The sequence below is a fragment of the Homo sapiens genome, chromosome 5 (genome assembly GCF_000001405.40).
Source record: "Homo sapiens chromosome 5, GRCh38.p14 Primary Assembly".
Classification (NCBI taxonomy): Eukaryota; Metazoa; Chordata; class Mammalia; order Primates; family Hominidae; genus Homo; species Homo sapiens.
The window spans coordinates 7,034,180-7,048,362 of record NC_000005.10 but is presented as its reverse complement, the minus strand read 5'-3'; the positions used below and the strand labels follow the sequence as shown (position 1 = coordinate 7,048,362).

At 40.7% G+C, this 14,183-nt stretch overlaps 1 long non-coding RNA gene and 1 pseudogene across 1 annotated transcript in view; both read right to left on the bottom strand.

Annotated features, from left to right (window-relative positions):
• The window catches only part of LINC02196 (long intergenic non-protein coding RNA 2196), a 114,548-nt gene extending 102,666 nt beyond the window's left edge, over positions 1 to 11,882 (bottom strand). Inside the window, exon 1 of the long non-coding RNA XR_001742592.2 lies at positions 11,798 to 11,882. This is a non-coding gene — a long non-coding RNA (long intergenic non-protein coding RNA 2196). The remainder of the gene's footprint in view (positions 1 to 11,797) is intronic.
• RNA5SP176 (RNA, 5S ribosomal pseudogene 176) lies at positions 1,027 to 1,136 on the bottom strand (annotated as a pseudogene).
• Positions 11,883 to 14,183: the final 2,301 nt, after the last annotated feature.

Below are 14,183 nucleotides of genomic sequence, written 5' to 3'. Positions count from 1 at the left end.
ATTTTCCCTTGAAGACAGAATAGCTAGGGCAAAGGTGCCATACAATAGGGAGAAAGTGGCATTCAATTCTCCTGAATTATGTTGTTATTTTTCATTTAAATTTATTTAAATGAATTGCTTGGCTCTCCTTCAAAACATGTATTTCTCCTGTTGACGTCTATGAGCAGTAAAGTCCCTCTCAGGGGCCAGAGAGTTGGAGATTTACAATGCCCTGCTGGAAGCCTAGTTTACTTTTCCACACCCCGTTTAGATTGTCAAATATTAGTCTTGGCAGGATGGCAGGAGCTGTCAGGAACAGCTGGACAACTTGATGGCTGTCCCAGGTACCTTGTCCAGTGATGGCAGAGGTGTAGAACTTGCCCTCATCACTAGGGGAGTGCAAATCAAATAAACTGACTTTCACAATTGTGCCAGACATGAGTGATGTGGCACATTCTGGCCAATATATGCCTGGTGACGATGGCCGAGGGGGCTCAGGGAGGGCAGCTCTGGAGAGTTCCGCAGACTCCTGTTACCAAGCGCATCAACTGCAAGAGTAATGTCCTTGGGGCTTTTTTTCCTGCCCAATTTATAATACGAAGTTGTCATATTAGATTTTTTTTTCCACAATAATTCTACCAACTTTCACATCTTGTTTTTGCTCAATAGAAACCAACTCTCACAGTGACCCAAGCCAAATAGAATCTGGAAGCCACTATCCAATGTCTTTCAAAGTCAAAAAGAACTTAGGATTTTAACTAAAATGTGTTTCTCTGCTTCTCTATATCAGCCCAGACAGAACTGATGCATTTGCAGAAATATGCAGCACTAATGTGCTAAAAACAAATCCAGATGTTTAAAAGATTTTTATAAAAACCAAGATGCAATGAAATGGAAACACACACACTGCTGAAGGAAATGTAAGTTGATGTAATTATTCTAGAAGATAATTTGGCCTTTTAAGCAAAGGCTTTAAACAGATTCCATACCCTTTGATCAGAAATATTATTTTTATTTTTTTATTTTAAAATTTTAGATTTTATATCAACCCTGCAACACCTGGTATTCCCATGTGGTCTCCCATACCAAGTCCTAACCAGGTCTGACCCTGCTTAGCTTCCAAGATCAAGCACGTTCAAAGTGGTATGGCAGTAGACCAAAAATTTTATTTTTAAGAAGGTATGAAAGCTGCAAATTATTTTTTTTCTTTACATACTGTAAGGTTGAATGTCTTAGGACTTTTATTCCCCCTCAGGACACGAAACTCTCTTAGGGATAAATAATGACATATCAGTGCATCTCCTTAAAAACTGAAGGCCTCCCTAAGTGCTAGTGAAAAAAATCTCAGAAAAATAAGGAGGCAAAAAATTTCCCTTTTTCCTACAGCTCGAAAAAAGCTAATATTGTTCTCTGACATATTCTGGTTCTATAAACTAAGAAAAATTGAAAACACATATGAAAAGTTGAGTCCTCATTCTCTTGCCCAATGTGAAGGCTTATGATAAAATGTAGAATGTTGTTCTGTTGCACATGTGACACTCGTCCTTGAGTGTCTCGTGAATCAGGGACACGAAGACCTCAAACATTTTTGTTGCATCCTGTGAAGCACGACCAATAATTCCAAAGCCTGAAACTCTCACATAAGTGTCCTGATTATAAACTGTAAATTGACACCTCTGTTTTCCAGAAGGGTCAAATACTTTTTGAGTTATCTCTGCGAAGCTACAAAAGACACTTAAAGGCATGTTCTTCCTTTCCCATGTGGCTGGAAGTAAAATTAACTCACAGCTCTGTTGGAGTCTACGATTAAACTGAAAGTTTCAGAGTTTTTTAAAAAAATTCATATTAATAGTATCTAAGGAAATAATTATAAAATTTTATTTAAAAATGTGTGCCCAGAATGCTTTTGAGTGTTATTGATAATACCCTTTGATCCAAAATTTTATTCTTAAGAAGGTATGATAGCTGCAAAGTTTTTTCTTTTTCTTTACTTATTGTAAGTTTGAAATTCTCAGGACGTTTTTTTCCCCTTAGGACATGAAAGTCTCTTGGGGATAAATAACAACCTGTCAGTGCACGTCCTTGAAAATCAAAGGCCTCCCTAAGTGCTAGTGAAATAAATCTCAGAAAAATAACAGGGCAAAATAGCTATGAAAATCAGCCACAACGTTGATGGCCACAGGAGAAAGGTTTGACCATTTGCCAGGTCAAACATATCATTACACGCATAGATCAGGTGATTGTGTCACACTTTCCAGTTTATTGAAAATGTGGTATATACCAAGGGGAAGATAAAACTCTAAACACAGTCAAAGCTGAAGGTTTAACAATCTATATATGTACTGTGGTTGGCATTAAGTGGAAAAATTATGAGTGATTTGAGGGTTTTTAAAATATTCATCTAAAGTTTTCACTTTGTCTACAGTGAATATGATTTTTATAATTTAAAGGTTATTAAAATATAATGAGAAAACTCAACAAAATAGTCATAAGTGTCCCAATACTTAAGCATGCTGTACAAAAACCCTATCTGATTTTTGCTCCATCTCCATATTTCAGAAAAGTCAAAGTCTAGATGGGAGGTTGATTTAATTGCACGGATACTGTCCTTCAAACACTGACTGACTGTCCTTCTCTATCATGCTCTGCCTCTCTCTGAAGGGAGGGAACTACTGGTAAGAATCTGGATTTTTCTCTGATAGTTTTTTTCTTCTTGTCAATATCTAAGAAATCTGTACTGAACAAAAACAAATGTTATTCTTCAAAGTGTTACTCACTTATTTTATTGTCAAAATAATCCAAAAATGTATATAACTACTGAAGACTGGAAAAGTATATAGAATTTATGGACCAAACTGTGGACCTCATGAAATCTAAAAATCCGTGGTAATGTCCTAATTTTTGAGAGATTTGAGCAAATCACGGAAACCATACCTAATTTCTGGAGCAATTTATTAGCCCTACCTAGAACCCTATGTAGTAGGTTAAATCAGAAACAGCTTCTTTTTGAAGAGATGAAGCTGTACACATATGGCACCATAGCACTGATCCAAGAATCTATCTACTTGCTTTTATTAACTTGATATCCTTTCTCATATTTTTCATTTGGAGGCAGTTGCCTTTTCCCAAGAGTAGCAAGAATCAAGCAAGACAAGCAATAGAAAAGGTGCATGTTGGCTGGATGTGATGGCTCACGCCTGTAATCCCAGCACTTTGGGGAGGCCGAGCGGGGTGGATCACTTGAGGTCAGGAGTTTGAGACTAGCCTGGCCAACATGGTGAAACCCCGTCTCTACTAAAAACACAAAAATCAGCCAGGCGTGATGGCATTTGCCTGTAATCTCAGCTATTCAGGAGGCTGAGGCAGGAGATTTGCTTCAACCCAGGAGGTGAACGTTGCAGTGAGCCAAGATCATGCCACTGGACTCCAGCCTGGGTGACAGAGCGAGTCTCTGTCCAAAAAAAAAAAGAAAGAAAGAACGAAGGAAGGAAAGAAGGAAGGAAGGAAGGAAGGAAACACAGAGCAGGGTTCATGACTGTTCCTGGATTTAGGATTAGGAGATATTGGACCTCAGCAAGGAGGCTTTCCCTTAAATATTAAAAAACATTTGCAAACTGATAGTGTTGGCATGAGTAAAACTCACATGCTCATTTGCAAATTACTGTAAAATGCTCACAATAGAATGGAGATTTGTAGCCACTCAGCAATCCTTGTCATGTGGTGAAAGAAAGTGGAAACAGAAATATTACATCAATATTCTCACAAGTGTATAAATATGAACAAGTTTACTATGAATAGAGTTTACTATGCTAGGAGACCAATTCTTTTAAAGCATAAGGTTTGTGGAGACAAACTTGGCTATGAAAGAATGTATGATTTTAGCTCAGGAACAAAGAGACGGAAGTGCCTATTGAATTTTTTCTTGATTTTCACAATTTATGGATCCACATCCTTTCATATCCCCGATCTGCTAAGGATGAATGGTGAGAACCGAATGGCCTTCCAAATTTGTTCTTCAGATAGTCACATCTATCTAGATACTATAGCGAGTCCATCACTAAATCAGTTGCCTCTTGCCAAAGTCTGTAAGGACTTGTTGGTGCCTATAGGGGCCCCCAGAAACAAGCATGGACCCAGGAAGGAGGCTTTTAGAAGTGCACAAGGGAAAGAGCAATTGCAGGGTCTATAGAATTACAGAGAGGAACACGCAGAGCAAGAGAAACTGCTGGTGGAGCTTCACGTAAAGCCTGAATTCAGTGACTGCATCTGTGACCTGTTCTCTGTAAGTATAGTTACAATACAACTCTGACCCACAGAATGAAGGAAACATACAGAGAAAATTGTTAGAAACACAAACACACAACCAGGCAAGGGAGAGAAGAGGGAGGCCTGAGCAGATGACTCAGAGCTGCATGTGAAGGGGTCATGAGTGCTCATAACAGATGCGATCAGAGGTCATATGGTAGGCCAAACAAGTCTCCCAAAAGATATAAACATCCTTATCCCAGAACCCTGTGAATGTCACCTCATAGAGTGATAAGGGATTCTGCAGACGTAATTAAGTTACGTATCTTCAGACGGGGAGACTATACTGAATTATCCAAGGGACTTTCAATGCAATCCTATATATCCTTATAAGAGGGAGGCAGAGGGAAAATTTATACCCATGTAGAAGAGGAAGAAGCCATGTGACCACAGAAGAGAGACTGGAGTGGCATGACCATAAGCGAAGGAATGCTGGCAGCCACCGGAAGCTGATGGAGGCCAGCAGGGGATCCTTCCCCAGAGATTCCAGAGCAAGCGCAGCCTGGCCAACACCTTGGTTTTGAACTACTGATACCAATTTCAGACTTCTTGCCTCTAGAACTGTAAGAGAAGAAATCTCTGTTATTTTAAGCCACCAAGTTTGTGGTGCTTTGTGACAGCAGCCACAGGAAACAAAGTCATCTTTGCAGCTGCCTTTCTGAATATTTTGAGTTAGTTATAATTGCCTGCTTAAGTGTGAGTTCAATAATCTGCGAATTATGTTGTCAATATTATAAAGACACACATGTTTACAATTTTTTAAATAAGATCTCGGTGGGATATCTGGACCAGGTGAGAAGCAGCAACATCATCCAGAACTCCAGCCCTGAGCTAGGACCCTATAGCAGCAGAGTTCCCTATCCTCGGAAGTAAAACACACAAGGAAATAGTGATGCAGCAGATCTTTCGTAAACCCTAGTGTGGGATCTCACTATCACATGCAAGTGGAAGCCATTGAGGGCCGCACGGGTGGAGTGAAATGATTCTGGCTGTTGACTGCAGAAAGGCTAGGAAGGGAACAGAGCAAGAGCAATAGCGCAGGTCGCTCCTTGCTGCAGAAAAGCGTTAACAAAACGCAGGCACTCCACAGGCTATTTTTCATACAGTATCCTACACAGTAGTAAGGAGTAGTAAGGGAGGAGACCACCCCTCATACTGTCTTATGCCCAATTTCTGCCTCCAAAGAAAGAAAAAGCAAAAACTAAAAGGCAGAAATGAAATCCACAAGCAGACAGCCCGGCGCCATACCCTGGGCCTGGTAGTTAAAGATCGACCCCTGACCTACTCGGTTATGTTATCTATCGATGACAGACATTGTATAGAAGAGCACTGTGAAAATCCCTATCCTGTTTTGTTCCGATCTAATTACCGGTGCATGCAGCCCCCAGTCACATAACCCCTGCTGGCTCATTCGATCACGACCCTCTCACACGCACCCCCTTAGAGTTGTGAGCCCTTACAAGGGACAGGAATTGCTCACTGGGGAGCTCGGCTCTTGAGACAGGAGTCTCGCCGATGCCCCCGGCCAAATAAACTCCTTCCTTCTTTAACTCGGTGTCTGAGGAGTTTTGTCTGCAGCTTGTCCTGCTATAATACTACTGTTATCCCTATTTTGTACACAGGGAAACTGAGTCTCAAAGAGGCTAAGAAATGAAACCAAGATCACACAGTAGCCTTATACTACAGTAGAAATCTAAGCCAAGCTTGGTCTGACTCCAAAACCAGTGCTTTTCTCTTTGTTTTAGTAGCTCAGCCTTCCATAATCCACCCGCCTCCCAGCATTGGCATCAGTTACAATTGCTTGTTTAGTGCACGAGTTATAACAGCAAAATAGGATTGCTACAATAAAATACAGCAAAGAGCAGCACAGACACTTCATAGATACTCATTTTCTGAAATTATAATTACAGTTGTCCCTCGGCAACCAATGGGGCTTCATTAAAGGACCCCTGCATATACCAAAAACTGTAGACTCAAGTCCTGCCATCGGCCCCACAGAATCCGACATAAGAAGCTCAGTTCTCTGTATATATGGGTTTCACATCCCAGGAACACTGTATTTTCAATCTGCATTTGGTTAAAAAATCCACATAAGTGAATCCACATAGTTCAAACCTGTGTTGTTCAAGGGTCAACTGTAGTTCAAAGCAAAGCAAAGAGAGCAAATACCTACGATCCCAGCGTGCCTACAGCTCAGTTTGCTGCCCTCAGTGGGCTCTACCTGCATGAACTTGGCCATGGAGGTGTCCCACCTCATCACAGTACTGGCACGTTCTCTGTTCAGGTTTTTCTCAGAAGCTAGTCCGCAGTGGCACTCAGTGTAGTAGCATGCCTCTGTTGTTTGGGACACTTTATTTTTGAATGCTTTATTTTCTTTAACCCCCGTTTAAAAATCTTTGATCTGAAAACACTGCTTTGGAACTCTTCAGAAGTGGCCTCTCCCGTGGCCCGGCTCAGCATGCAGCCGTCTCAGCAGCTTCCCCTCTTCTCCATCATGGAATAGCCTCACACCTGAAGCTCGCCACGCCCCGGGCTTTTGCTTGCCACCTGGAACTTTGCTTAAATGCCCGGGCCTTTGAAACTTTCTACTCATCCCAAATCTTTTTAACCAAACAGAATGCACCCCTTTCCTAACCCTCCTCTTATAAGGAATTATCTTGGCACAACTCAGGCCAATACCTAAGAGTCCTGGGACCACTCCCTTCTCTCTCATCACCCCTCAGTCAATTCTCTCCCAACTGCTCACTCTCCCTCTCTAAGCCATTGTCTCTCTGCTGCCCTGAGGATTCACCAGGGTCAAGACAGACTTATCTTCTGCATCGTTCCTCTATATGAGCAACTAAGACCTTGCTTGGGGGTCTTTGCTGGTCCCTAACTTCCTGTAGCCTCGACCTCACCTTTCATTTAGTTCATCTTCCACATTGATGCCAATGTGATTTTATCAAAACAAAACCTATATAAATTCCTTCAATGAGATTTCATTGTTTCCATAGAATGAGTGCATCCATGAAGCTACTGATGAGGACCTCTCCTGACCCGTCCCCAATTACTGTTCCCATCCTTGACAGTGACAGGTTGCCCCGTGACACAAAACTATCTACAGTCTCCTGGATGAGGTGTGCCCTCTCCTGCCCTCCTGTCTTAGCTCAGGACATTCCTACTTCCTTGGACCAAAGGACTCTTCCCCAGCTACTCTGCCCAATGAATCCCAATTTCCCCCAAGGCTACACTACAGCAGCCTCTTGAGGAAGCCCCTTCCCACCTCCCCATACTGGGGGAGCTTCAATGCACTGGCCATGACCTTCATTGCAGCATCCAAATCCTGAGCTCTGATGGGTGGTTTCTTTCTCTTTCCACCACTAATACCCGCTTAAGGACTTTTCTGTCCCAATATATCCTCATTCCTGGCCCATAATGGGCATTCTGAAAAGTTCTGTGGAATAAACAAGTGTATAGATGGTTCATATAATTATAGCATCACAAGGAAACCTAATCAGTCTATGTCCTACTTATATTTAGGGAATATGAAGGAATACACCAATTTAAAAAGGATATCAAGGTAAAGAATATAATGTGAGAAGGATGGAGGCAAGAAGAGGGAAGTGTATTGCCCCCCAAATTGGATTTATTAAAAAGGGATTCTTAGGAAGTAAAGCGAGCTTAATTATGAAGGTAGTTTCTGTGTCTAATTAGCAATAGAAACAGCATCCTAAATTACTTTGTGTTAAATTAAGTAGACTGGTACTCTGCAAGCAGCAGGTGGTCTAAGAGATGAGCAATTACAGCTCTTAAGTAGCAGAGGTGATATATCCTTGGCTCCTGTATTCTCAATTAAAATCTTCCAGCTTTTCCTCTAATTAAAAAAGGCCCAATCCTCCTCTTTATTGTGCCAGATATGCATTGATTAAAATGAATAAAATATGTGTTATTTCTTGACTTCACCGGAGAATTGGTGTAGAGATGCCTGCATCACCGGCAACAAGTGTGCCCCAGCCCACTTTAGGAATAGAAAATGGTTCACAATGGCTCAGGAAGCATGATTATGCATTCAAACTTCTTTATACTACACTTTTTAGACTCAACGTTGACTCCATGTTTAATGAGGGACAGTTTTAAAAATCCAAGAGTTTGGTTCCCTTGTTTCAACTCTGGCTTCTTAATTGAGTTCTGATTTGCAATGTCTCACTCATCCCACTAATTGGGAGCAAAGACTTTCCCCATTACCTTCTTCCATTCCTTTCTAAGAACCAGCAGTTTATTCTCATAATCTTTAAAGAAGTTTGGCCTGGGACAAGCACAGGATATAGATTTACTCCCCAAGTTTTGCCTTAACACATAAGCAGCCTCTTCTCCCCCCACCCCCGCCACGGTAGGTCTTGAGTGAATTTACAGGCAGTCAGAATTGTTCTTCCTCCTCAGTTAGAATTAGAAGGAAGGAAAGCACTGGGCAGAAAACCAGACCTGACAACCCGCCTATGACTCTGTTTCAGTGGAGTCGCTAGACGATCAATATTCTCCTCTTGGTTTTTATTTCCCGATAATCTTTTTTTTTTTTTGCCTGGAAATGTAATGGTTACCCTCATCAATCCAATATTACTACCACAACGACTAACTCAATTTTTGAAATGGCTCCTTCATTGAAGAGCAGAATCTCTTATTTAAAGATCAATATTGGCAAGCCAATAAATAACTAACACAATTTCTGAAATGGCCTGCCTAAGCAAAACCATTTACATTTCTGGGCCATTTTTCTTCATATAATGTAAACAACACTTACAGCAACATGGGACACCTCTTCTGAGGCAGCTGACTCACCGAATGTGTAAGAAATGACCGCAAAACAAATATGGAAGACTCCTCTGCCTGCTTTCTACAAAGAAGGGAAATCAAACCCATTAAGATGAGAACCTGATGTGTATTCTTTGGAGCAGTTTTGATCAACAAATTGTTTAGACGTGTGCTTCATGTGTAAAATGGTGTTAGTGCCTGAGGTTTATTTAAATAACTTATTCCACATAAAACACTCATAGCCATTCTTGGCACATGATAAGTACTGTGTGACAGGTAGTAGATTACGGAAGGGTGCAAAATTTCTGCTGGAAGAAGAGACTTATTAGCAACCTGATATACCCCAAAACATGGGGATCCAATAAGATCAGGTACAAGCCAAATTGAAAAAGAGGGACTTTTCTAAATACCATAGAAACCCAAATATCATAATGCATCTATTCTTCTTTCCTGATTTCACACCCTCCTATTATCATGTAGCAGTAAGTGTGGTGGCAAAACTTTCTGATGCTTCCTCCTTGCCAGAGAACATTTCAGATTCACACTACCACCTGCAGGATTGAACATACCAGTAGGGTTGGCTTTCATCTGGGCAATTGTGGAAGAATTATTGGTATTTTAAGGTAATTAACTTTAAAATAATGGAAAGTAGAAAGGGTTGATAAGGAAGTCATCTTATCCAAGTCTTTCCAGTCGAAATTGTTTTACTGTCTGCCATGAAGAGCCTGTCAGGAAAAGGAGACAGCCAGAAATTTCAAAAATATCCTAACTAAATTTTTTATTCTCCTTACATTTTAATGTCAGTGTTTCTTATGAGAATGGATGTTTTACTAAACACAAGTGCTTTTTTTCTTATTTTGCTACATTAGGTAATTATTTTTAATGTATTGCAAAAACCCTGAAATACTCAGAGATTTGAACCAATAGCTTTTCTTTTGTCATAACTTTTCACTCAAAACAGCTATTCTCATTCAGGTAGACATAAAAATGGGACCACTATGGTACTGGATTTCACCTTCATAAGCTTTAGCACCAATTTTCCTAGCTCTAGCCCACTATGAGAAAAAACATCTCTCAGAATTTTGGAGGTGTACTTTCATTAATACCCTTCATAGAAATTGAGATATTTCATCTCTCATGAAGATGGACTAGATCAGTCTAAACTATAAAATAGTCCTGGTGAGCTTGGAAAGGAAGTAATGAGAGTAAACCAGTCACTTTATAATGGGCTCAGTGTAATCACATGGTCCTTATAAACGGAGAAGCTTTCCCAGTCCTGACCAGGGATAGGTATGATGTCATTGATGGCTTTGAGAGTGGAGGCAGGCACCACACACCAAGAGATGCAGGCAGCTTTGAGAAGCCAGAAAGAAGGAAATGGATTCACCCTGAGAGCCTCCATAAAGGAATGCAGCCAGGCTGGAGCCTTGATTTGAGCCCAGGAGGCCTGTGTTGGATTTCTGATCTCCAGAACTGTAAAATAACAAATTATGCTATTTGTAGTAATTTGTAACGGCAGCAAGAGGAAACGAATGTATCAGTCAAAAAGCAGATGAGCTCAGCAAGAATGAACACAAAAAGCAGCAGCAGCCCTGGCTGCTTTTCCCACAGCAATGAGCTGAGCTGGCAGATAAGCAGCAACATCTGTGTGTGTGTGTGTGTGTGTGTGTGTGTGTGTGTGTGTGTGTGTGCGCGCGCGCGCGCGCGCACGTGTATACACATGGATGTATTCATGCACATGTGTGTGCTACAGAACATGTCTGTGTTACACAAGGGACTGCCCTTTCTCAACATAAATAACAAAATGACTTCTGCTTCACTCCCAACCTCCAAATCTCAAACAACAAGGCCTCTTGTGGCCCATAATAACTGGGAATGTACTGGGAAGAGAACTCTGGGAAATATTTTTTAGTCAAGCCACAGCAACACCTTCAAATCCACCATAGTCCACCCCTTGCCAAATTACCACTCATACAAATCTCTCTAAACCATAACTAATTTTCAAATAAAGAAAATAACAGCATCATGCTTTAGACTAACGTGATAAAACTATCTCATATACAACCCAAAACACACTAACATTTTCCCCAGAAGACCAGGTGCTTATCCCATGCGTGTGGATTTGCTGAGGATGCCGTAGAAGCAGCAGAAGGAGGATGACAACCCTAGCTGGTATCATGGGCGGATCAGCTCAGTATGAGCGGATGGGCTCAGTATGAAGGTGTAAGCCAAGAGTAGGTGGCAGCTTGCTGCAGCCTCTCTCAAGTGTGGCCTTGAAAGACAGTGGAAAGGAAAACCTTTCTAATGGGCAGGGCTTTGAGCAATACACCTAGCCATCCACTGTGTGTAGAGTAAAAAGTGACCAGAGGGTATAGACCTATGGGCAGTTATGAATGGCCTGACCAACTAATTAGAAACACAGAACGTAGAAGATTGGATGATGGGCACAAGGAAGTCTGGGTAGAGGCATGTGGAAGGACATACAAGTGGGTAGACACAAAGTATGATCATCTTCATATCCCATGAGAGCATCCATCATAGTAGAGGCACTAAGCAGCCACATAGGCAAAATGACTCAGCTGACATTAACCATTCTTTGTAACTGGACAAAATCATAATAGATTCCTTCAGACTCTGACCCTCTTGAGGATAAGGACTGTGTCATAGTGATTGATCTTTGCATGTTGGGTGCTTTAAATAAGCTCTGGCACATGTAGGCACTCACCAATGTTCATGGAAAGAATGAATGGCTTCTACTTCATCCGCCTTCTTTGGTTTGTTTGTCTTTGTTTTCCATTTTCTTCTGCCCTCTGCTTGGAAACAAGAGAAAAAAACTAATGCATTGAAAATAACTGTGCAGAGTATAAATCATTTTCACAACCAAGGACAAGGGGGATTTGTCTCCCAGAAAGCATAACAAGACAAGCTTGGTTGTGCTTTTTATAACCTCCATGCGTAGACCTTGAGTTCAGAGGAATAAGTACCTGGCATGCTTGGTGACAATAAGATAACTAAATGCCAAATTTTTCCACACACCATAAACCATGCTCAGGGACTCCAAGATACTGAAAGTGTGGAATAATAAACTCATATTTATGTTTTAGTTAGAAGAAAACCTTAGTCTTTTTTTTTTCTTTAGATAATAATTACATCAACCAAGTTTGACAGCCTAAGGCTGTTTTTCTCTTTCCCAGACAAGGTCTTTCTTACAGTAAGATATAAATAATGGCACAACATTTTTAGACTCAGTAAGCCCACACATACTGTAAATTTATAGTTGTCTTCCATCTGTGAGGACAATAAGAGCATCTTGATAAAGAAGAAAAAATCTTGAATTTTTTCAACTCTATAAACCTACTCCTTTATTAAAAATAAAAAGGTAAATCCTTTCAGCCCAAAAGTTGTTAATTTTACCTTGAAAAATTGTATAAAAATACATTTGAAATTTAGTTTGCATTTTAATTCAAGAGACAAAAAAACAATTTAGTGATAATATATGGTAGTAGCATAAATAATAAAATTAGCTGTTCCTACATATTTTTGTGGTTTGGAAAACAGGAATCTTCAGGTATCAGGAGTCTGGATGATGTGCAGATTTTGAGCCGCTCTCAATTGGCACTTGCAATGAATGCCTTGTGTTGTGTGTTGAGTTTTCTGTCTACAGCTGGCCAAATCCAGCCCAGACTCAACTATGAATTCCCCACAGTACTCAGCCCACTGCCCTAAGCAGGCAACAATACTTATTCCATGAACAAATGGATTCTAAGGGCCATTTGCAACATTCCAATTTCTATGCAAGTCGAGGGAACTGAATCTACAGCCTTCTCAAGTTTTTCAGAAACCAATTTTAATTTAGAAAATCATTCTCCTATAAAGACGCATGCACACGTATGTTTACTGCAGCACTGTTTACAATAGCAAGGACTTGGAACCAACCCAAATACCCATCAATTATAGACTAGATAAAGAAAATGTGGCACATATATACCATGGAATACTATGCAGCCATAAAAAAATAATAAGTTCATGTTCTTTGCAGGGACATGGATGAAGCTGGAAGCCATCATTCTCAGCAAACTAACACAGGAACAGAGAACCAAACACCACATGTTCTCACTCATGTGTGGGAGGTGAACAATGAGAACACATGGACACAGGGAGGGGAACATCACACACAGGGGCCTGTCAGGGATGGGGGACAATAGGAGGGAGAGCATTAGGACAAATACCTAATACATACAGGGCTTAAAACCTAGATGATGGGTTGATAGGTGCAGCAAACTACCGTGGCACATGTATACCTATGTAATAAACCTGCATGTTCAGCACATGTATCCCAGAACTTAAATAGATAATAAAATAAAATAAAAAGGAAATCAAAGCTATTGAGAACAGATGACAAGTTCATCAGCCACATTTTTATCTACATAGAGTATTGCAATGATGTTCCACATCACATAGACACATGATTTGCTAAGGGTTGCTTTTTGAGCTAGGGTATCATTATTCTAAAAACTGCTGCAAGATGGGAAGACAGAGGCTAAGCCAGTGAAATGGCCCCGACTCCCATAGTCACAAGGCTGGTAAATAGCAGAGTGGAAATTCAAGCTAACTCCTGCCTAATTCTTGGAACTACACTCTCACGTGCTCCGGAGACACAATTCCAACACTAAGCTGTCTGATTTCTAAGAACAGAATGGGAGAGGAGCAAACTCCACCATGGCCTCTGGAGGTGGCCAGTGGTGTGGCAGCTACAGTCTTCATCATTGAACACTTCTTCCTGGAGGCCAAACTCAGGACTTCCTGCTGTCCTATTTACTTAGAAATGCTTATTTTCTTATTATTAGTAAAGTTAGACATCTCATGATATGTTGATTGGACGTTTCTTATGTTTAACATCTGTCATCTTTATCTTTCTTGTTTATAACCATGATCCATTTTCCTGTGAGGTCTTTGTTCTCCTCCTCCTTGTTGGATCTTCATGGTGTTCAGGTTAATTCCATCTGTTACACATCATAAACACACTCTCCTGGTCTGATACTTGCGGTTAATTCTGCCTATGCTGTATTTTACTCCAACTCTTTCTTTCTGCATGCAGTGAAATGGATCAT